Here is a 25128-nt window from a genome sequence, read left to right as displayed (position 1 = left end):
TTAAATATATCTTTAGGTTGTTAAATGCTTTGGTTTTGAGTAGGTAATATGTGCACATGGTACGAAAGTCAAGGAAGTCATGAGCCACCCTCCTAGGTCACCAGGGCAGGTACGGTAACCACTTTCCTTTGTGACGTTCCAGATATATTCCACGCATATGCAAGCAACTACATCACTAAATATTCTTGATCATGGTATTTTTATTCATTGTACATAGACAAGTCTGTCCACCTCCTTCTACTTTTTCTGCTGGCGACGGCTCAGTTGCATTTACTGGAAGTGGTTCTGTGTTCACACAGCACTTAGTATACAAAAGAGAACGCACCACAACAGTACAAGCAGTCGTGGCCACGATGACACCAGCGTCCCCGTGGAGCTTGGAGCCACGCTTGGTGGTTCGCGCCTCCGCGCCTCCGGGGGCGCAGTGTCCAGCTCAGGCCGCACGATGGCGCCCGCTTCCTGCGGACCCGGCCCACGGCGGCGGCACAGACAAAGACGGGCATCGGGCCTCCCCCGCGGGGCGGTGGAGGCGGCGGGCGCCCCGGGTGGCCGAGGCCGCCCCTGCGCGCCGAACCAGGCAGCTGCCGCCCGAGTCTTTGTCCTACGCTGCTCGCCCTTGTGCTAAAGGACAAGCAAAGAGGACGAGGGGAGCTGGCGGCTCCGGCCAGGCATCCACCCGACTCCCGTCCCAGCTCTCACACCCCAAAGCCCGGCCCCGCGCGAGCTGGGGTGGCTGCAAGCGCCTGCGTGGGGACGACCCCAAAGGCCTGCCCAGGAAGCTTTCCTCCACCTCCACACCTCTGTAAAGAATTTTCCCGGAATTCCGCACTGTGGAGGTTTTGCAGCACTGCCCTGACTTCCCATTTGAAAGGCTACAGGGCCTGGGTGTCCCGGGTGCAGAGGAGACATGCATTTAGGTTGACTGCAAACTCGTGAGCATCTGGGCCTGGCTGTTCCAAGCGCAGCTCTGCAGGGGTCCAGGAAAACTTCTCTCCTCTCGTGTTCTGGCACCCTCTAGTCCCGCAGTCCAGTAGAGTTTACTGGGATGATGCCAATGTTCTGTCTCCACTGGCCAATATGGTGGCCACTAGCCACACGTGGCCATGGATCGCTTGAGGTGTGGCTGAAGAACTGAATTTTAAACTGTATTTAATTTTAATAAACTTGAATTTAGGTAGTCGCATGTGACTAGTGGGTTTTGTAGTGGGCCCTGCAGTCTTAAGGGCTCAAGTCGATCTGAGCACTAGAATATGTAGTTATGTTGTTGACAGTAAAATTTTATAAAGATTCACATACAGCATGGATCATGTGCCTGTTACACCCGAAAAGATCCTGGAAGTGGCTGGGGGGCTGGGAAAGAAAAAGTGGTGCCAGCTGAGTTTATTTTGTCTGTTTAGGGAGATGGTTAGGGGGTGCCCTGCGTGTGGAGTAACGTAGCATGAGAATGAAGGTGAAGATGAAATAGGTCCTTACAATGCCTTGCTAGTCCTGCGAATGGGACTGCCTAATCTTTGATCTATTGTTACAGAAAGTTTGGGGCTAATCACTGTCATCTATTAAGTGGCTAAGTATATACATCCCACACATTGGGTTCTTGGGACAAGATCATCCTACCAGAAATAATTTTGAAGGAACCTGGGATCTTCTGCGGTCTTGTGTGCTCAGAAGGAGGCGTGGAGGAGTGCCGGTATCTGCGGGAGCTTGACCGTCCAGCCTGAGGTTCTGTCACTGCTGTTTTCTCTGGGCATGTGATAAATATGAAACAATGGCAGTATCATTGTGTGTTAGGGTGGTGTTTATCTGTGGGATGCAAGACAGTCCTGGGTAGAGACACTGGGGAATTAGAAGTGTTTTTTCATGAGTTGGAATGTCTTGGTGGCAAGCCAACTTCTCACTCATCATCAGAGCAAAAGTTGAACATAAAATTCACAAGTTACCTGCAGCAGCAATCATCAGGGTTCTGGTACCTCAAGAATGCCTCGTCACCTGTCTCCTCCAAGAATGTAAACCAATCAACGACTTCCATTTATTTTTATTGAAAATAAACATGTATACCTTCTTATAGGTTCCTTGGTCTAGTGTATTGAATCTTTCCAATAAGCAATGCAATTATGTGACTGTTTTCTAAAATCTGAGGTGGATGCCACCTTTTAGCATCCACCTTTTGATCTTCCAGGTAACATTTGTGTGTGTGTGTGTGTGTGTGTGTGTGTGTGTGTGTGTGTGGATAGAGGTACATGGTGGGCAAGGGGCAAAGACAGATCAAGAAATATTACATTCTCCTTGAAGATTCAATATGCCCTTTTACCTATTCTAAAGCATCCAGAAATAGACCTGTAAGTGCTGACATCTTATTGCCCTACAGCTGAGGTGTCCTGGCAAGGCTCCTTGCCCATAGTAGGCATTCAATAAATTTTTGGTGAATTTTATGTAAGAAGGGAAAATGGGCCAGGATTCCATATCCAAGCTATCGTTGTGGGCTGTCCATCCATCTCTTTTTGTTTTTGTTTCTTTTCCCCTGGAGATGTTGCCGACCACAAATAAAGAACAAGGGGGAAAATAGTTAAGCACACCTAGAGCTGCGTCCAAACAAAAGAGGAAAGAGACTAAACAAACCCAAGGTTTTCTATTTCTCCCTGAGCCAAGTAATCCCTTTGATTACATCTAATACCTGCCAAAACCCAGATGGTGTGCCCACCCATCTCCCGTGTGATAATGCCACATTGTGAAATCTACCTATTAATATTAATTGTCAGTTAGAGAATCTGTCTGAACTACTAAAGCTTGAGATTGCCTTGAGAAAGCAGGCCCTGCTTTAGCAGGGATTTTAAGATAATTCTCATTCTTTCATTCTGTATCTCACATATGTAGAATGTTAAACAATAGCCTGAGAATGCTTTTCTAATTTCGGTACATGCCTGCCTCTTGCAATCCAGGTCTTAAACCACTGTTCATTTGGGGTCTACACCTGCTGACCAAAATATTACCTTAAACTGCTGTGGGCTTGCCAGCGACATGTAAGCACACACTGTTCACCATATAGAGAGAATTTTAACTCCCTGGGAGCTGTTTGAATTGAATGTGCCCTAGCATGTGATGCTCAACTATTTCCTTTTTATTTTTCTCCCTCTCAGTAATTGACTTGGTAATCCTTGAAAAGTATTACCAAATCTCAGTTTTTTCAATTATTGTATGGGTCTTCCTGAGGTAGGAATGCAAAGGCACAAGAGAAGGCCGAGGAAGAGAACTTGAGGTCCAGGCAAAGCTGTCGCATGGCAGAACACAGGGACCTTCAGGGGTGCTGCTCCTGGCTGATAATCCGGTCTGTGATGTTTGATTTGGACTGTGATCATAAACATGCCCAGGTCAGCTCCAAAATCCGATCTGTGCTTCCAGATCTCCACACTGAAATGTTTCAACGTTGCAGTTTCTGCTGCGTTCACGGAACTTTTTCTTTTTTTTAAGCCACAAAATTTCAGAATCCATTTATGCCTGAAATAGATATGAAAATTTAGTAGGTGTGAGATTGAGTTTTTCCTCCGGAGTCTCCCCACTTTATTCTCATGGGTTATGCTGCAATCGCCTTTTGACAGTCATTCTTATAGCCAACACCTTAAACTTTATGAGTAAATGCAAAATCCAGCCCACACAGTGTCTTTGCTTTTGCCAGGAGCATATAGGGCTTGTGAAATGAATTAATTCAATATTCTATGTTCCTTGTTCAGGGAGGTAGCTCTTCATCATATCTTGAGCTTGATGTCCGGCTGTGGCCAGAGCTGCAGCCTTGCTGGGTAACTGACTGACTCGGGCAGAGGGATACCACGCAAATAAAAACTGGCAACATTCTGTTCTTTTGGGTACATCAATGAATGTTTACTTCAATGACCTGACAGTTCTTTTATTAGCAAATATTAATTTCAACTGAAAAAAACCAGAAGGCCTTCATGGTGCAGCACATTTAAATAGACATTGAGATAATTTTAAAAATACCTATTGGTATGTAAAGCAACCTTCCTGATGAAAAGAAGTCACTGAACAAGTGGCAGAAGCCAGTTGGTAGGGCTCAATATTTTGATTATTTAATTTATTGCCATTATTTTACAAAACATAAAAAAAAGCAATTGAATTGCAATTTTGTTCCCATTCCTGCCCAACTTTGCAATGTTATTTTTTTATGACTGCTGTCTTTGGAAAGAGATAAGGGATGAGGCAGCAAATGGCTTTTTATAGAGAGAGAGGTGGGTCCTCTTACCTACTTAGTCTTCTGTTTCTACAGGGATGGTAAAGGTGAGTTAAGGCCCTCAGTGGGAGGAGACAGACCTCAGTGGGTGTTCTCAGAAGGAGCTGTTAAATGCTGGTGCGTCTCCACCTCTGTCCTGCCTGTGGATATTTTGCAAATTGTTTCTCTCAGCCTCCTTCGCAGCCAGCGTCAGAAGGGAGGCTTGTATTCTGGGAGAGGGGGCTGGCTCCCTCTATCCTTTCCTCCCCTCTCACTCGAAAGTTGCTTTTTGATGCCAAAGATGGGGACAAGTTGTTATAAAGGCACCCAGAAGGCAGAAATTAGCGCTTTTAAACTGAAGGTGAATCACAAGTCCTATTTCTGCCTCCAGGGCTTCTGTTCAACCATTAAAAAGACCAAAATTAACTTTGAACACATCCATTCTTCGCATAAATAAGAGTAGGAGGCACACCAAATCATTTTGTAAAACAGAAATCCTCTTGGAGAGTTTATGTTTCATGAGTGCATATTTTTAAATGCCCAAAATTCAGGTTATTTTGGTGTTTGAGAGAATTCGCTTGCAGGATCAGACCTTAACATTCCAAGCTTAGCTCTGACCAAATTTTTATGACTGGTTTAGAGGCCTTTGAAAAATACACTTAATTATAACAAGGCAGCATTGTGCAAACATGCTAGGGTGATGTTTACCCTACCCCATTCTTATCAGTTAGAAGAAAAACAACAGAAAATATTAAAGAGCAAACAAGCCAAAATCAATGTGAAAAGAGATGAAAGTATGTTTCAATGAAAAAATATATGTGTGTAAATACAGTGAAGATTATAAAGTATCACCACACATAAGGTAATATTCTTTTTTTTGGGGGGGGGCAGAGTCTTTACTCTGTCACCCAGGCTGGAGTGCAGTGGCGCAATCTTGGCTCACTGCAGCCTCTGCCTCCCGGGTTCAAGCGATTCTCATGCCTCAGCCTCCTGAGTAGCTGGGACCACAGGTGTGTGCCACCGTACCCAGGTAATTTTTGCATTTTTAGTAGCGAGAGGGTTTCGCCCTGTTGGCCAGGCTGGTCTTGAACTCCTGACCTCATGTGACCCACCTCCCTCGGCCTCCCAAAGTGCTGGGATTACAGGTGTGAGCCACCGCGCCTGGCCTGGTAACATTCTTATTATCATAATTACCTATAAGCCTTAAAAGATAGCATAGGGCATGACTGGAACAGTTTCCTAATGTGTTGAAGCTTTCTGATGTTTCCTGTATTTATGTATTTAAGTTGCAGGACAATGAGCCATTTTAAACTTCTGTGTAAACTAGTTTCTATCTTCCTTTTATTCTGCACTGCTTCAAAGAAATCTCCAGAAGCCTGCAACATTTCAGATGTTCCTCATGAGAACTCTGGATGGTAAAGTCAAAATAGAATCATAAGTAGTTTCAACTAAGCATTAGTTTTCAGGGAACAGCATATCATGAGATGGGGAAGGTCAATTTGAAAAACGGTGTGGGGTTTTATAGGAAGTGGCCTTATTTCTGAGTCTATAGGTATCATCTAAGCCCCCCAACCGCAGGCCAGTTTATGTGATTTCTTCTGTAGAGATTACCTATCTTGGGGCCAGGCTAACCCCTGCCCACATCCAACCGCTGCCCTAAAGCCAGAGCCCAAGAAGCAAAATTCAAATGTCCTGGAGGCCTTAGGTCTTTAAAATATTAGCTTACAGTTCCCACTCAGGTTGGAATAGAATCCAGGGCCTTTGAGCTGATACCCTAGGGGTTCCAGAGGCTCCCTTACCTCCAGCACAGATCCACTATGTTCTTATAAACACAAATGGAAATAGATAAATCTCTTTGGTGTCTAATCTGTAATATCTGAAACCAAGTTTCCTTTTGCATGAATAAATTGAGGGGGTAAAAATTTTGAAAATTACCTACTTCCTTTCAAATTAGTAAAACAAACAGACATGAAACAGACTGCTTTATTTCATTGCCTAGGACCTTGAAATTTTTAATTGGCTAAGAGAAAGTTATTTTAAAATAATGGGCAGGACAAAATAAATACATAATTTGATAGTCTGTTAGCAACTCTTTTACTTATTGCAAGGGGAACACTTTCTAATTTTCCCTTTGATTGTAAACAGAAATCTAGTTTATTAAGCAGAAACATAGATTATTAATAAATAAACCATTTGATGCCTGTAAAGCACTTTGAGGGTGAAAAGCCCCTACTAAATGGCAAATATTATTATTTTTATTGCAAGCTAACGGGAGGAAACTAAGCTAATGAATGCTTACAGAGCTTGGAAGTAGTCATCACACTCAAATTGCCATATACTGTAAACTATTAAACTTGTTTCTTAGATAGAGATGCTTTTACATTTTAAGTTGATACTTTTTAATTTTTGCCAAGGATGAAAAGAAATGCTTATGGGCCTGTAATTTAAATAAGAATAACTCAAGGGTATAATCACTTTTTAGTTGAACTAGAAGTTGTTTAAACGAGAAACCATTTTTGAAAGTACAGCTAGCAAAAGAAGATAAAAATAAAAGACCAAAACTAATTTTCTGAGTTAAATCTCAGAAATATAGCTATTTATGAATATCTCTTCCCTTGAGTAATATCATATCCATATACCAATTTACATTAAAATAATACCCTAAACAGATAAAGTGAAGGCTGATGTTTCGAGGTTCAGGCTGAAAGGTATTTTTTTTGTGTCACGACTCTTTGGCATTTGGCCTTGACCCTGTGGTATGACATGAATATGTAAGACACATGAAAGCTTTTACTGTTTGATATTTGAAGTAGGGAAGCATATAAAAATAATACCAAGTCATAATTAAGAATGGAAGTAAGAATTTAAGTCTGATATTCCTAACATTTTTCTAAAGTCAGACCATAGGTGTTCAATTTTGATATCAAAGTGGATGTACTGTATATTTCTATGTATTACATAATATTTGCTGATATGCATGTGAATGTGTGTTTATATAACTGGATCCACACATTTTGCTCATTCTTATTAAGAGATTTTATTTAAACAGCAAAAAAAATTTTAACAGACAAACATATCAATTGTAAACATACAGCAGAAATTACTTTGTTTAAATCTCACATAAATATATATTTTAACTAAATCCTGTAAGAGAAATTTTTGAGTTACTTGATTTTTTCCTTACTAACATGTCAAAGCAGCCTTCATTCTCAAGAGAACTGGGTTCCGATCTGGGATCACAGCTAAGGTGTGCTAAGAAGAAGGCATTTAAAGACAATTGTTTTGTCTCTCCACCCTCCCACCCCTCTAAACACACACACATTCCAGGCGTGTAAAACTGACACCAATCATGCTCCATGCCCTGGACTGAGAAACAAAATCTCCTCCTGTATGACAAGATTCAGCCTGCAGTGATTTTAGCAGCCAAGATACAAGATTTTTAAATTAGGGCCTTCGGTATATTAGCAGAGCCATATTAAAACAATGCTGGCAGCCCTTATGAAGATACAGGGTAATTTTCTAATTAGCAGAAGGCTATTTGAAATGCAGCATGGTGTCCCATTTTTCATACTGTTATTTTCTACTGGATAGAACTAGAAAAGTAAGACAAGAGCCATGAAACTTCATGGTTAAAGTTCTGTAAGTTGGTCTCTCCAGCCCTGTAAAAACAGAATCTAATTTTAAAGGATTTTTAATTTACAAAACTTAGCTTTATTGCACCAGGGATGTCGTGCTAAAAACCAGCTCACCATCCAACCGGTTAACAGATAGCAATTGTTACTCTTTCATTTGATTTTAGGTAATGTTTTAAAATGTATAATGTCATGTATTATTCATCCTTGTTTTCTCAATATCTCTATTTGGGTTCATTTTTTAAAAGAAGATTCAGCAAAAGGTTGTGCATATAGTGGATGCTGAATGAATGTGATTGTATAGTGGGCAGGCTTAGACATCTTCAAGTGTTTCTTCCTAGAGGTGGAGAAGAGGGATTTCCTTCATAAATTTGAGTCTTACCTTTTGGCAAATTGGGTCAAGGGGTTAGAGGTAAAAACTTTTGGGGCCCCCACAGGGAAGGATGAATTAGGTTCTTAGACAGTCCAATTATAGAAGCATTCAAAGAGTAGACTTTCTATGAGAAGATTCAGCCATCCTGTGTATGTAAATAGAAATCACCATCAGAAGCATCATCGTCAATTATGAAAGAGAAGATGGTGAATATTTCATTCCTGGTGAGGTCCAAATCATTTCATTTGCATATGGGCCACTTCCTCTGCAGACTGGCAAATAGAAAAATAAGTTGAATGGCAGAGAACAACTTGCTTCAAGCCATTCTCTAAATTGCCTCCAGCTTTCAATTTTTCCAAAGAGCATGTCACCCAGCACCCCTACTCCAAAACCTCTAATGGTTTTCCTTTGCCTAGAGATTCAGGTCAAGGCTGTGAATGACGACATTCCAGGTTCTCCCCAGACTTGCCCCAACCTCCCTTTGCAGACATCTTCCTGTCACTCCACTGTGCTTCAGCTACATCAGGCAAGATGCAGCCCCCAAACTCACCAGGCCTGCTTGAGCCTCTTGCTCTAGGCTCAGGCCAGTATTTCCACTCTGAGTGCTCTTCTCACATTTTCCATGTAGCAAAGCCCTACTCATTCCTCCCCAGCAGTTGAAAATTCTCCCGCTTTGGGGCACCTCCCTGACCTCTTACCTATTGCCAGTTCCCCAGTCAGACTTGTATGTGAGTCCCTCCCCTGGACTCTGACCCACTCCGCAACATGGACCTTTTCTTGTTGTTAACTTGTCTTCGGTCCCCTCAACATGTGACACAGTTTTCTGATACTCAAAAGCACCTGGTATTGAACTGACTCTAAATAAGAGAACTTCCTATTTCACATTATACACAATATTCAATATTCTATAAGTTTAGAGAGATTGTTTATGAATGAAAAACAAATCAAAACAAAAGTAGCAGCTGCCATGTTCAAGGAATTATACTTTGAGTAGAAAGAGAGCAGCTGATGTTCAAGGTCGTCTGGAAGCATTTTTTGACGAGTTCTTCATTTTCTTCTACCCAACTCCAACACGATGAAGCAACGTCCTCATCATTCCAGGGGCCTGGGAATTTACACCCTCATTTTTACCTGAACTGAAACTGAACAGTGACGGTGATAGGCATGACAACATGACATCATTTGGCTCACTCTTCCCTCCCCCTGGCAAAGGGTGATTATTGCAGACATAACTTACAAATTTCTGGCTTTTTGATCTTGGTGCCAATGTCTGTTTATAAGAAAAACGAGGCATCCTCTCCTCCCTGGACAGTCAGAGTTTTCTTCTCTTAAAGAAAAATAAAAAAAAAAAAAAGGAAAGGAAAATACATCATATTATTCTGTGATTAATAGAATTGAATTTCTTTATTTTTAGGATGCCTGAAAATCAACTTGTTTTATCTGTCATGTGGAAGCCTAGGATATGGTTTTAAAAACAGTACATTTGCCTCTCCATCAGATCTTCTATTACACCCCCTGTACCAATTGCTCCTGGCTCATCATCTTCATTGCTTGAATCCTTACAACTTGGTACATCCTAGATGATCTGTATTCTGCTGTTTCTTCTGCTGGGGGAATAGTAAGTTCCACTGGGTCCTGGATGCCAGACCATCAACAACTGCTTTCAATAGCCCTGAATGGCAGATCCACCTACCTACTTTCTTTCCCACAAAAAGATAAGATAATTCTTTATCACAATTCTTTGTATCTATTTATCTATTTGATAGTTGTGCTTTTCCCTCCAAGTTTGGGTTCATGGAGACTTTTTTCTTTTCTCCCCACTCCCAGAGGATACTTTGAATGTTCTTACAGGTCTCTGACATAGTTGACACCGAGGACCAAATTGGGGTTACTGCACAATGCAGTCTACTTTATCATATCAACCCAGGGACTTAGAGTCCTGATAAACAAAGCTAAGCAGATTTGCACAATATGTGGGAAAAGCACTAGAACCTGAATCTTTTGATAGAACCTATGTAAGTAATTAGGAAAAAATAATTGCACGTTTGAGAAGGTGGACTCACCAAGCAGTTGTTGAACTATAAAAATGCATTAAGTGTAGTCAGTTTCTTTTTTAAATTATTCAGGAATGTTGTTTATGTTATCATAAAAAAAAAAGAGGTGAGAAAATATATTCGGCAATTTTTGGTTTTCCCCCATTTGAGCAGATGGCGATTCGTAGTTCAAAATTTGTAACTCAAATTATTTCACATTTTTATTAATCAGTACAATATGTTTTTAAAACAACAAACTGCACTTAGAAATATCAGTGTAAGTTCCCCAATTCTCCTAGTTCCATCAGAGAGCAGTCTGAGAATTAGAGATTTTGTTAGCAATATTGGGAAACAGGGCATTCTAGTTCAGTGTTTCAATAGTAATTATTTTTATTCCAGTGTTCAAAGTGTCTCATATGGGGGAGGGGCAGTTGAAAATAGTACAGAAAATTGCCATGGGGAGCTGTAAAAAGCTGGGAGAATCTGTTTCAAGATGTTTGCTTTTTTGGTAGAACAAAAAGTGCATTTTGTTAGAGACAAATATTTTTGTGATAAAAAAACATTTTATGTGAAGTGTAGATTGGACTTTTAATATAAAAAAGAAATGTTAAGCCATTCTATTTTCGGAAGGTTTGGCGTCTTAGAATGAAAGCTGTTAGAACTGCATATATTGGAATGTTCTCACAACTGTTGTCATCCTATGTTCCTCTCCAAACCTGTTAAATTACATGAGTGTAGAAATAAGGGAGCTTTTTTATTATTATTAATTGACACTCATTTTTAGCTGGCATGTGCTGGCAGGTCTTTCCAGACAAACCTCAGACCGTACAAGGCAGAGCTTCAATCTGAAAGTTTGGGGACTATTCCTAAAGCTCTGTAACATGGAAGCTAGGAAGTGTAATATTAAAGTGATAAACATCTTAGATTCAGTGTAATTCACAGTTTCTTTCATTCTTTTTACTATCTATAGATCTAAATCAAAACAAATTCCATAAAAGAGGGGGTTATTTTCAAGCACATTTTCCTTCAGAGAGCTCTTGAATATTTTATCATATCTATTTCTATACATATGCTATACGTTTCTAGATCCATGTTGAACAAAATCCAAGGTGATAATATAAAAAAAAAACCATGAGACTATGACATTAGAATTCCTAGGAGATATACAGTTAGCCCTTGTAAATGAAATAAACTTTGTTTTGGCAATTAAGGAATACACAGGGATATTAAGTCAAAGAACAATATGTCTGAACTATTAAATTGGTTTTTTCCAGGAGGTTATTAAAAATGTATTTCAAATTACCAGAGTGGCAGGAAAAAATAAAAAATAATAACTTAAAAACTGTTACATTTTCCTTCGCTCTTGAGAAGGCATATTGGATTTCATAGAATGTGATTTCTAAGCAGATTATTTTCAAGAAAATATCCACTCTAGGATGCACCGGAGGTTCACGCTGCCCCACACCTCCCCACCAGTTCCAAATAGTGAGAGCTTTGGGGCTGTCACGACAACAAACTATGAATGGGTGAGCACTTCAACTGCCGTCTGGCAATGGGAATATACGGATTTTCCGGGTGTCCCTCCAATTGTGCAGAACCCCGGGATTCAGACAAGCTCTTCACAAGGTCAAACAAAAACCAGACCCGGATCACGGTGCCGCCCAGGATCAAATGGGGCAGGAAGTATAAGCTTATGATGTGAGGATGGAATCTCTGGTGACTCAACAGCGTCTGCGTCCTCAAATGGTTAATTCCCCCAGGCTGTCATATTGCATAAACAGATCTTCCTTTAATAAAATTAATTAGGTTCTGAGCTTTATAGGGTGATGCCCACTGACCCTTTACATGCCTATTGTTCCTAGATCCAAGAGAAAGAAAAAAAAAGAGAGGCTGCCCAGTAGGCAAAACAGAGACCCAAGTTGAAAGATTAGAGATCTCAAGTAGGATCTGGGAGGGAGTGGAAGAAACTAGGTAGCGTTTGCTTCTGAACCGAACTAAAAAAAAAAAAAAAAAAAAACTCCAGAAAAAAACAACAGCGCGGTGGTGGGGTTTTGTTAATTTCGCCTTTTTTTTTTTTTTTGCACGCGCCACGAAATTCAGGCTGCGTTTAGCTCCTGAGAAATATCCAAAGTAATTGCAGATTGCGGAGACGCACAGCATTAGTTCAAAAAAGACCCGAGGCATTGGGGCAGGGTTAGGTGGAGGGCACCGGAGGCTCTACACAAGAAAAGCAGGAACCTGCAAACCCACGTAGATTTCCACTACAACCTTCCCTTTTCTTCTGGCTAGCCATCCAGCGCTCTCCATGGCACTGCATGGCACAAGTTGCTTCTGATAGTCTTTTAAGTTTGCTAAGGGAACTCCTCGAGGGTGGAGTGGGGGCTGGGGTAAGGAATGAGTATCCTGGTCTTTTTCTTTTTTCTTTATCATAAGGGGCTTGAGGTTCCCATCCTGGGGATTACATGAGCTCATCCTGGGCGCCTCTTGTCTCAGATAATCCGAGGCAGGGCAGCAAATACTGCCTGATTTTGTCGGAAAATTTTTTGAAAGGGAAAGAAAAGGAAAAAATCGTCGTAGACCGGATGTTTCCAATTACAGGGGAGCCAGAGAACAGAAAGTGTGTGTGTGCGTGCGTGTGTGTGTGTGTGTGTGTGTGTGTGTGTGTGTGTGTCGGGGGTGGGGGCGCGCGGTGGTTGGGAGCGATGGAGAGGATGGGGCAAGATTTGGAGAGGGTGTAGGTTGGAAGTGGGAAGAGACGCGGCAAGGCAAAATGCAAGAAATGAGGCTTCTGTGAGGAGAAGAGGAAAATAGGAAAATGAAGCAGAACTAGAAAAATGACAAAGTGTTGAGTGCTGATTTATTGCAGAAGCCTCTGGTCATTTCCATATATTGAAATGCGCCCAAGCGGCCAGTCAGTCAATTTCTTTTGAGCTGCTGCCGCCGCTGCCCACGGGCTGCCCACGTGACTCCCCCTCAGTCAGCCTCTTTACCACCCAGCCCCTGATACAGAGAGAAGAGGAGGAAAGAAAGAGAGTGTGGGGCAGAGGAGGCATCTGTGTACTCTAGTGGGTGATCTGGAGAAGGAGACGTTCGTGTGGGTCTTTGGGAAAGGAGGAATGTGGCCTAGGGAGGAGAGAAGCTGATTTCAAGCTCCATTCAAGTGTTACATCGTTACCTCTCTCTGTTTGGCATGTTTCCATCTGTTTCTCTCTCCTCTGTGTCTCTTTTCTCTGACTCTCCTCTCTCCCTCTTTATCTCTCCCCTCTTGATGGTTAAAAAAGGGGTCAGAATTCAGAGATGGAAAAACCCATCTATCTAGAAATGCATAATGAGGATGGGTGTGGAGATGTAGGATATTCAAGTCAGATTTGATTTTGGTATCTTTGATACTATCCGTTGCTTTGGTAGATTTTTATTAAAGAAAGGCACATGTGCACACACACACACACACACACACACACACACACAAATCCTAGATAAAAGCCAGTGAGTTGTTAAAAATGAATTTGCAGCATTAGAGCTGTTAGCATCATTCAGCAAGCAGGAAGCTTGATAATTTCCAGGTGTTGGGGAAAGCCGTTGTCCGGGAGCTCTTACAGAGCTTATAAATCCCTGTTGGGAGGGAGAAAAAAAATCTTTGGAGGTGAATGAAATATCAAATCACAAGACTCCTATGTAGATTTATGATTGCATAAGAGGCTTGATCATTTCCATATACTGAAATGTGCTGTTCTCCTGAGTCTGCCCAGCCCTTCCAGGAGACGAGGCGCTCCGTTCTGCCTTGATCAATGTTGACTATGAAGCAAAAAAGGAGGGGGGGTGGTGGAAAGCAGGCTGGCACCAGATGGAGCGGGGTCTCAGGAAAGGTCAAGGTTAGCCCAGGCTGCTATTGAGTCGGTAGCAGCCTCACAGATAGATCTCTGCCTCGAAGGCACCCACTGGGGCTTCTCAAAATCAAATCTAATAGAAAAGGCAGTCACAGAATGAAATCGCTTCATCTGAATGCTAAAATTGTTATTAGGCTACATTAGAGAGATATCAGGCACGTGGTTACCAAAAAAGGGAGCATGCCTAGCAGTTTGTGTCTGAAAGAAAAGCTATGAATATGTTGATAACATCAGTAATGGGCAAGTAGAAGAGATGGATATCTTTTTTTTATCTGAAGACAGACTAACATATTAAACGAATATTCCCCCCCTCCCCTTTAGCAGGACTACCTATAATTCTAATTGCTTAGAGTTCTTCTTTGGGGGAGGGGAGGTGAAAAATCATTCATTCCAGCAATAGCTGATCCTTATTGATTCAGAAGTTTGACTTACTGGAGGAATTTGTTGAGGTTTTTTTTTTTTTTTTTTTTTTTTTTTCCCAGGTGTGTGCCTTTGGAAATTTATTCCTTAGGCATTACATTAGGGGTTGACACTGGCTGGAAATCAGTCTTTCTGGCTTTGGACCATTGGAAATCTGTTAGAGGACTCCTTCCCTTTCTTCTTCCCCCTCCTCTTTTTCCTTTTGCATTGTTTTCAGAGACTGAACTGTTTCTGGAGAAAATTTCACTTCACAGGCAAACCTCAGCCTAGGAGAGTGCCTGGGATCAGACATCCATAGCCTGTTAGGGTAGCCACACTAGCATTTTTCAGACAGTCTCTCTCCCCCCAATTATCATAATGAAACCCACATTAGCTGTTTTTAACCTACAGCACAGCCATATCTTAAAGAAGGATTTAGTCTTGTAAAATAAATGCGGGCTACACTAGATTAAACATGATGACTGCACTCCAAGGGTTAATAAATTTAGAATTAACAGATCATCCCAGCTTGATACAGCTACTATAGATGATTTAATATGCAGCCTAAGCAGGTTGACAGTCAGCTCACAGATGCAGATAAGATCAAACAGTCTCTTGATTCAATAGATTGAATGGTTGTACGGAGTGTCTAGAAGGTGAGCGACAGAGCGTATATGGCAGGGGTTCTGGGAAAGAGGAGCTTCCATTCCCAACTGCTGTTTTGTGCATGCTGGTTTTCTTTTTCTAACAGTTCACCTTCTGTGGCAGTAAAACCTGGAGTAGGGGTTTAAAAATTCTCCTGATCATATAGAGTGATGGGTGCTTGTTTAAGTTTTGGGTGAGGAAAGGGTTGGTACCATTAATATCGGGATCTATTTCTAATTAGTTCTGCCTGGTAAATAGCATCCACCAGTTTCTCTCCCTTTCTCTCCTTGTGGGCCCTCAGGTCAGAGCTCAACACACAGGATACAAGATTCCTGGATGGTGCAGATAAAGGCAGGCTCATTGCTGAAATTACATAGGTAATTTCCTCAGTCCTCCACTTTGCTGTAGCTGTAAAGATCTGAATATGGAAAAGAAGTACAGAGCTAAGTTGAAATTCAAACTTCAGTATGTAGCCACGGTGAGATGTTTACATTAGGAGAGAGCTTATATTCCTAAAACTGATGTTAAAAAATAGCAAAATTAGGGAGTGTGGGGCCTTGGGGAAGATTGAGGTGAGTCTAACAGAAAAAGTTGAGTGTCTTTCATCAAGGCTTGCCTTGGTGGCTCAGAATCTAGAGTTTTTAATGTACACCTGAGTTTCTTTTGGTAGGTTTAATTTCCTTTTATCTATTTCAACTTTAGAATTTAAATAAGAAGACAAAAAAACCCCACCCAATTTCAATAAAAGTGTATGTGATTTGATGTGATAGACAAGTTTTAACAGTTTTTGTGATTTGATCAGAGCAAGGACTCCTCCTCAACCCATTAGATTCTGTCATGTGAATATATATTCAGGCAATTTAAAAATGCATATTATGTATTCAATAGACCATCACAGGTCTGAATTATATCATATTATTCTGTTCTGTCAGCTACCCCCCGCCCTGCCCATCTTAATATGAAAATCTGTAATAGAGTGACTATAGAGCTATGGCCATCAGATTTCAATGTGCCTAACTTGGTTGTTTCATTTATTTATTTTATTTCATTTTATTTTGAATATCAAAATGTCCAGTCTACACTATAAGCTAATGACTCACAAAATTTTCCTTTAATAGATAAAGCCATTTAAAGCTGTGTAATAGCTGTACATGCTGTTAACACTAACTTTTCCCTTTCTGTTCTAATGTCCTAGTAAGTGGCAGGAAATTCTTCTAATTCAGAATTTATTATCATTAGGTAACCTCTAGGAAATTCTTAAAACATTTCATTCTTTGAAAATGGTGTTTGGGATCTTGGTGAGTTTTTTTTTTTTTAAACCTATCTCTATGTAACATGCATCTTTAAAGGGTTTGAGATAAAAGCAAATTTCCAGATTTTAGGTTGAGGAATGTTTAAAGTGGAACTGTGGCTGACGGGAGGAACTCTGAACTCAGGTATGGCTGTTCCTGGAGCAGGGGAAGTGGGCATTTATTTCACATATTAACCAGATCTAAATGCTTCTGAATTTTATTCTCCCTTTCTTGGACAACCTGTGATTGCAGCAGGGGGCACCACCAACATACGAATTACTTGAAAGTAGGAGGAAGCTCCGGCTTTCCTGTTTCCCTTACTACTTGGAGGCATAACCACTGAAAACAGTTATCTCTCAGAAATTTGCATATTTATAGTGCCTCCTGCAGGTTCCTGTGATTGCTTTACAGTCAGGAAAGGTAACAGAAAAATATATATCCTCCTTTAAAACATGAAAAAGGATCATATAGGAGCAGTGACTAATAGGAGACTAATCCTTGCAAGGAAGCATGAAATTTGTTTCCTGAATATTTTTGTTTTTGTTTTGTTTTAGGATACGAAAGGAATATTTTGGAAGTTATAGGACTAAGTCCCTGATTCCTTGAAAATAGATATAGGAAAATACTTAATGTTTTGAGAAAAAAAAATCAGCATAGACTTACTTATTCATTGCCTGACTACCTCTAAAGAACAGAAAATTCCTTACAGGCGAGGAAAAGCCACCCAATAGATCATTTAAAACCCTAGTTCCATGGCACATATATTGTTTTAGTTCTCATCATAAGCAAAGAACAAATGTGTAGTGTACCTTTGGATATAAAAGTTAATTAGGTCTCAGAAGAGAATAGTTTCATTTTTATTGGCTCTGAGTTCCAAGGATACCTTTGATATACCTTTTCTTTCAGCCCTTCTTGACCGATCCTCTTTGTGGAAGCTGTCCATGGTCCAGACACTCAGGCCTGTTTGGTTCTGGATGCCAGATTTTTGTTACTCTGCTTGCTCTCTTGAAAACCACTCCACCAAAAGTCAGCATCATAATTGAAATTACACCCAGAAAAATCTAATCTTATCTCCACCTCAAGACCAAGGTGCAGTTAATGTGCTGTTTCACCAGGGGTTTCAGTTTAGTGAGAGATTTCATATACTCTTTAGTTGGTGATACTTGGACACAGGAACATTCAGGGAGGATGAGACTGAAGCTCTAATTCTGAGTCATCCTGCTTCCTCCCTGTATCTTCACCAGAACCTCTTTCTTATTTTATCACAAGTCTATTGTACTTAATTTCCTTTTCTTTTAAATGGCCGGTGTACACAGTGCTTATAGAACTGGTATTAGCAATCATCAGCACATCCTTCATGATAGTGGAATTCCACAAGACACGGCCTTCTCTGCATCTTACCCTTTCTATGCAAATGCCTATCAAAATCAAGAGGATAAAAATAATTTTTCCTGAAATTAGGTTTTACATAATAAAGACACCATGTAGTAAAAATAATATGTGCTATCAATAATACTGGAGACATAAATGCCCAAACAGCAAGCAGAAGGATTCTCTTATCACCCATTAGTCACCACAGCACTACGCGTTCTTGTATTCTACCTCTCAGTGTAACATTAGGTGATCTCTCTGCTTGTTACTCTGGCCGGGGAAATTTTCACTGAAATAATTACTGCCATCATCTTATTATTTCAGTGCAAGTTTACATACAATGTTTAGGCATTTGGTATTGTGTTGAAAAAAATGTACCTCAGGATTAATATTTGTTTCCTGGTTGTTGGTTAATCTCTCATTCCTAAAAAAATTAATAAAAGATACCAACTGAAATCAGGGGCTTTTTTGTCCCTTTTAGCATCCATAGTGACAATCTTCTTCCTTCTAAAATGTTTAAAAATTGTAAGTATTGAAGCGCAACTTTTTAGCATTGTCATAAATGTATTAATTTTGGTTGTTACTACAAATCAGATATCATGTCAATCTTACTGAGGGTAAAATAGCTGAAAACACAAGTATGGACTCAGTATTTAAATTTCTTTCTTGGTCACATTAAGTTAAAGAGATCCAGCCCCTTAAATGTGAACATCAGTGGAAAGAAACGATCCATCTTGGAATTCTGAAGACATTACTAAAGCTAAAATCATATAATTTTTTTTTAAAAGAAAGGAGTTCCTTTTTGGTTGGAGGCTGCCTCTGTTTGATTTATTTATGCTAAAATAAAAGAAAAAAAATGGAAAGCTGCATGTTCCCATGAAGGAGAGTTGATTTCTTATAAAACATGTTTTAAAATGAGCATATTTAAAATTTTCTAGAACCTTTAAATCAATACAAGCAAAAGATCTATAATCTTTAGCAAAACCCCCTTATGTGCTTAATATTCAAATAATGTATATGCTTTCCCCTAATATATTTGTAGTCAGAAGCTTAGTTTATTTTAAAAATCCACTAATTAAGCTCTGAGTTCAAGATTCAATATTTTGAGAAGAGAAGGTCATACTTCTTTACTCATCATATGTCAAGAGCATATACTGATATTTCCCTTGCTCCCTGAGCCAGGCCAGAAAAAATCACTGTTTGGGGGTGTATGGGAAGGGGGTTGCCCATATAAAGCTCTGTGAGCTTTGCCTGTTGCAAATGAAAACCAGCTAGACAGGTCTTGATATTTAAAGAACGTAGTGTCTGGAGAATCAGCCTCCAGAATTAGTCTCTCAGAGTTACTCTGTTATGATGCTCTTGAAATTTGGCTGTTTGAATATTTTGCTGCATTTCAAAATCTGAGAATTGAGAACAATAAAAAGGACATTTTGTCTATGGTAGATAGGATTTTGAAGTTCCTGGGAATCTAAGTGGTTTACTTTGTAAGTCTTTGTTCATGTACCAGACATTTTCCTAAGGTTCTACTCTGTGCTGAGGGAGAGAAAGATGAAAATGACAGAGACTGTGCCCTATAAGCTCTAACAACTTAGGACTTGGGTGATGTGGTGGCTTTTATGACATATATACAAAGATATTATACACACATATATACACAGATATTATATGGAATATACACAGAGAGACATGTAATTGTTTCCCCCTGATGGAAGTGGGTGTGGAGTTTATAATATGTAGGTTAAATAGCAGTGCAAATGGCCCATGTTTCTTAACTATTTAAAAAATGAAATAAAATAATATAATTTTCAATTATTGAGTACTTATTAGTGAGCAACGCAAATACCCATGTCTTTTTCACTGGCAGCAGCAACTGAAAATATATTTGTGGAATTCATTCCTTGATTCAGGAAATGTATTAAGTGCCTACTATGTGTTAGGGAACCAAAACAAAAAATTGGCTGGACGCAGTGGCTCACGCCTATAATCCCAGCACTTTGGGAGACTGAGGTGGGTGGATCACGTGAGGTCAGGAGTTCGAGGCCAGCCTGGCCAACATAGTGAAACCCCCTCTCTACTAAAAAAATACAAAAATTAGCCTGGCATAGTGGTGGGCACCTGTAATCCCAGCTACTCAGGAGGTTGAGGGAGGGAGAATTGCTTGAACCTGGAGGCAGAAGTTGCAGTGAGCCAAGATTGTGCCACTGCATTCCAGAGGTGAAAGAGCGAGACTCCGACTCAAAAAAAAAAAAAAGGCACATTCACAAATACATGCTAGGAATAGTCCATAATATTGCCTACAAAACAAGTGGTAGCACAGAAAGCTCATTTCTCAAAAGTAACTAGTTAAGCCATTTGAAAACATTATAAAAACTGTGATAGAGATAGATGATCACAGATATCTATGACCAGACCTCATTATTTACCATTCTCATTTATGGGAAATCAAGTTTTTCTCCAGAAAGTACAAATCTGGTGTCAGAGTGACCAGAGCTGTGTTGCCTCACATAGATCCTCGCTATAGGTTTAGAACCGCTCAAATTAGTAATATGAAGCTAGGGCTATACAAAATAGGATAATAGTGTGCATTTGTATGGCTTTGGCATGTGTGACTGGTGAACTTTATGTGACATGCTTGTGCCTGTGTATGTGTGTCTTACCGCCTTAAAAAACAAAACAAAACAAAACCAATCATCCAAAAGCAGGGACCACATCTTATGTTTGCACAGTGCAGTGCTCCATAAAGAAGGAAAGAATAACAATTCTTAGGACCAGATTCTTCATTTTATAGGAATCTGGAGGTTCAGATAACTGAACTTGTGCAAGGATTTTTTTTTTTTAAGAGAAAGAGAAAACAGGCAAATTGTGTGCAACTGGGAATGGGAGAATAGAGAGATTTGTTTATTCTCTACTAAGCTGCCAAAGAAAGATGACAGAGGGATAGGTATTTTCTCCTAGAAAAGTTCCCTTTGCTGAATTTGACAAGAAAAAACCAAAAAAGACTATTGACTATCACACACAAAAAAAGTCTTAATTTCTAGAGAAGGGACCAGAATAGTCTGGGCTGTGCAGTGCTCTCTGGGAATGACTGGCATTCAGCTGGAGTGGTTATGGGGTTAGGCAATTATGGGGTTTATGAGACACTGGTAGAGAAGGAACTTGAGCCTGGTGACATGTTTTGATGACTGCTTCCCTTTTGTCACTCATTGAATTCCAGAGGAGACCAACTAAAGCTATTGTGAAGTGAGAACGATCAAAGCCTGTGGTCCTCAGTGGCCTAATTTGGTGGTCTGATCCCAGTCAGAGGGAATAGAGGAAAGGAACTGCTCTTCTGAAAGTGAAAAGATTTCTGAATGCAGATGTGGTTGCTGCATAGCTCTTGGTGGGCCTTTCTGTGTGAAGTCAGTGACCTTAGGGTCTGCCAACAACATCCAGCCAAGGTCACATTTTGGTGGAGGTGCCATGAGCTGCATGCATTTAAAAACTTCACTTTAACTTGTCCGCCACCTGATGTTTATGGAGTGGCTTTTCTAAAGCAACAAGATTTGGAGAAACAAAGTGTTAGAGCTTCTAACCTTACCCCATCTTTCATCCTATTTCTACTGCCCTCTGGTGGACATGTTAATTAGAGAAACTGCCACTCCCCACCCCATCAGCACTACCTTCTCCATCACCATCACCACCAGTATCATCATCACCACCACCGCCACCTCTATCGCCACCATCATCATCATTACCACCACCATCCTTGTTTTCCTCATGCATATACTCAGCATCGGCCACATCATCACCCATAAACATTAGTTTCATATTATGGTGGTGGTATACCAGGTTAATAGTACATATTTCAAAACTCTGGTCCACCGGATTATACAAAGTAAATTCTTCATCAATCTGTCAACAGTCAAAGTCAAGCAGAGAAATACATGGTGTTTGTGTACAGTCCTTGGGTAACTCAGGATGACTGCACCATGCTATTGCCTTCCAAACAAACCAAGTGATGCCAGGAAAGCTGTACCTTTTATGAAATAAGATGTGAATACTAACTCTTATTTTTACCACACAGTTGGTAGACAGGATTAAGATGATCTGAGGTGCTTTATTTTTCCTTTCTGGTAAGTTCATACTTTTTCATCAGAAGGTAGCACAGAATGCATACCTCTGTGTATATGTATGAGGTCGCAACATTCCTTGGCATATAGTCTTGATTTTTAAGTTGTTTCTTTCTGTGTGTGCGCCTATATATATGTAGGAACACACACACCCACACATACATACTCCAGGATAAAATAATAAAAACTTATAAAATCGCAAAGAGTACTTGTCCAAATAAAGGACTAACTGCCTATAAAATTTCCTTTCAGGCAGTGAAGTCATAGCTGGAAGTTGGCAATAAGACCATCTGAAACTACTAAAAACATTCTGAAATGTTCTGGAGGAGAGAGAGGGAGAGAGAGAGAAACAGAAGAGATAGAGAGAGAGAGAAACAGGAGAGAGAGAGAGAGAGAGAGAAAGAGGAGAGAGAGAGATCCAAAAGCTTCCTCAGCTGAGTTATTCTGCCTTTTATAAAACAAGTTCACATCTGGACTGATAACTTGAATTCTACCCAGTGCCATTTAAATAGCCCAAGTTATAAACCTCTTAAACTTGGGGTTTATAATAGAAACACTGACAGACCCTTAACTATAGTGCCTCTATAGTAATGAAAGCACAACTATTTCATTATAGCAGTGTCTGGCAGGGCTGCTATAATTAAGAGTCTGTCAGCGTTTCCATTATAAACCCAAATTTTAAGAGGTTTTTAACTCACATTGTTTTAAATCACATTGGGCTGAAGCTGGCTGTACAAAATGTCAGACCAGATGTGTGTGTGTGTGTGTGTGTGTTGCTTTTTTTTTTATTTACGAGAGAGAGGGAAAGAGAGAGGCATATAGGTGAAGGTTGTTTTTAAGATTGGGTTTGAAAAACACGTATTAAAAAATTATTCCCTTGCTAAAGGTAAAAGATGCATGGGGTAGGGAAGCATAGAGAATCAAGTTTGAAATACCTTTTATTTTTGGTTGTTTTGATTGTATTTTTTTTCCTTTAAAAGTAGTCTCATTTGAGAAAGCAGTTTTGTACGTATCCAAAAGCAATGTTAAAAAAAAAAAGAAATCATTTGATACCAGCTTATTGATACTGGCTTATTTGGAAGATATTTGATAATGTATGCTGCTGGAGACGATGGAAATATCTTGTATTGTTACTTGTTCAGCTGCTCTGATATTCGAGATAATCTTTTCTGAGCTCACCATCCTTGGTGGGAATCACTTTTATGTTTAAACACACTCTTGGAATAGGGTTGCCTGATCAAAGCCTTATTAGTTTTGGGGGAAAATGAATAGAATTTGGATGGTTATGTTGGTTTCATGTATGTGGTGATAGGATTTATTAGTTTATTATTTATCAAATTATTATTTATCAGATAACTTTATTAATTTATTATTTATCAAAGACCATTTATTGGACATCTACTGTGTGCTGATTATTGCATTAGGAACTCTCTAGTGCAGTACATTCATTGGACTGGCAGCATTGCCCAGCACCTCTGTGTCTTTGATGTCAATATTAGGAAGCTAAACTGAGCATTTCATTCAGTAGCGTTCTAACTAGAACTCTTTGTCTCTTCCAAGGGGCCCCTTACTTATGTGGTAAGACTACTGCTCCCTCTTCCCCATACATTATTGACTTAGCACACAGCAGCCTCATCTAGAGGAAAGTATAGACTTAGAGCAGGTTCAGCTCGCTCCTTCCTTCCTCCCTCCCTCCCTTCCTCCCTCCTTTCTTTCTTTCTTCCTTCCTTCCTTCCTTCCTCCCTCCCTCCCTCCCTCCCTCCTTCCTTCCTTTCTTCCTTCTTTCCTTTTCCTTTTTCTTTGGATAGGTTCATTCAGGTGTTTGAAGCGCTGACTGCTAGCTAGCTAAAGGCCCAGGGAGCCTGGAGAGAAAGATGCCAGACTAATGGTTCTCCCAGGAGCCTCCTTGAGAGATGTCTGTGCCTTTGTAGAAGGTATAGATACTGTCCTCCAGGGACCTCCCAACCTGTGGGTCACACTGGGAGTAGAGGAGGAAAAAGAAGCTCATCCTCTTCCACAAGCAACTCCCTAACATTTTTATTATTATTTTTTTGAGACAGGCTGTTGCCCGGGCTGGAGTGCAGTGATGTGATCTTGGCTCACTGCAACCTCTGTCCCCCAGGTTCAAGCGATTCTTGTGCCTCAGCCTCCCAAGTAGGTGGGACTACAAGCATGCGCCACCATGCTCAGCAATTTTTTGTATTTTTAGTAGAGATGGGGTTTCACATTGTTGGCCAGGCTGGTCTTGAACTCCTGACCTCAAGTGATCCTCCCACCTCGGCTTCCCAAAGTGCTGGGATTACAGGTGTGAGCCACCACCCCCAGCCATTCCCAACATTTTAAAATTCATTTTTCCTTTGTCTTAACAACAGCCTAGCACTTCCATCATTGAGACCCAAAATACAAAACCTATGCCAAGCATAGAATCCAAACCTAAGTTTTATTTTTATGAAGATGACTGCCTGTTCTCTATTTTGTGACCTGCCAATTAGGAAAAACAAAAAATAAAAATTAAAAGAAAAGAAATAAAAAGAAGAAAAAAGGCTAAAGTAAAAATCAAGAAGGAAATGATTGTATTTTTAATCATTCATTCAGTCATTCACTTATTTATCTTTGAGTCTATGAAGGTGTTTCCCCCTAAAGGCAGACAGTGAATATTTTATTTTAATCTTGTAGTTTCCATCCTGACAGACCTTTTAACCCTTCATCTTCCAGCTCAGCCCGAGTTCCTCGCGCCAGGCGATCCTCGGTCCGAGGGCTGGGACTGTATTAAGTCTCCCTCTTCGAGCTGTTTGTTGACCACATTCACGTTCAGAGCCCTTGAGCTAAAAGCACTTTACACCATAAAATAAAAGCACTGTCTTTTTTTTTTTCTAAAAGGTTACGTCTGGAGGCCACGCGGCTCATACTTCATACCGAAAACTACTGAAAGGACTATGAAATCCTGTATGATTTACACTCTCTCACTGCATTAGGGTATAGATCTACTCAACTCTAAAAATACGGTGGGTTTCTAACCGACGTGAATATATGTGCATTATTTCAGAAAGTCTGTTAGAAAACTTGTCAACACATTATAAAGCATAAACTAGGACTTGGCTATTAAGTACGGAGATCAGAGGCAGAATATATACTGCAGGAAGTCCTGGGGCGTCTCCTCCGCGGGCA

General features: G+C 40.3%; 3 annotated features.

The window, feature by feature from the left end:
- Positions 318–467: a silencer, noted in NCBI's record as "fragment chr2:60809095-60809244 (GRCh37/hg19 assembly coordinates)". NCBI's record gives its function as "represses an EF-1alpha promoter that drives an FKBP-Casp9 reporter gene in an ReSE screen in HepG2 liver carcinoma cells {active_cell/tissue: HepG2}" and the evidence as "EXISTENCE:reporter gene assay evidence [ECO:0000049][PMID:32094911]".
- Positions 446–735: a silencer, noted in NCBI's record as "silent region_11518". NCBI's record gives its function as "represses an Ori minimal core promoter by ATAC-STARR-seq in GM12878 lymphoblastoid cells {active_cell/tissue: GM12878}" and the evidence as "EXISTENCE:reporter gene assay evidence [ECO:0000049][PMID:35858748]".
- Positions 24909–25058: an enhancer, noted in NCBI's record as "active region_15815". NCBI's record gives its function as "activates an Ori minimal core promoter by ATAC-STARR-seq in GM12878 lymphoblastoid cells {active_cell/tissue: GM12878}" and the evidence as "EXISTENCE:reporter gene assay evidence [ECO:0000049][PMID:35858748]".

This window comes from Homo sapiens, chromosome 2, assembly GCF_000001405.40.
Source record: "Homo sapiens chromosome 2, GRCh38.p14 Primary Assembly".
NCBI classification, from domain to species: Eukaryota; Metazoa; Chordata; class Mammalia; order Primates; family Hominidae; genus Homo; species Homo sapiens.
This window is presented reverse-complemented; position numbering and strand designations above follow the sequence as displayed.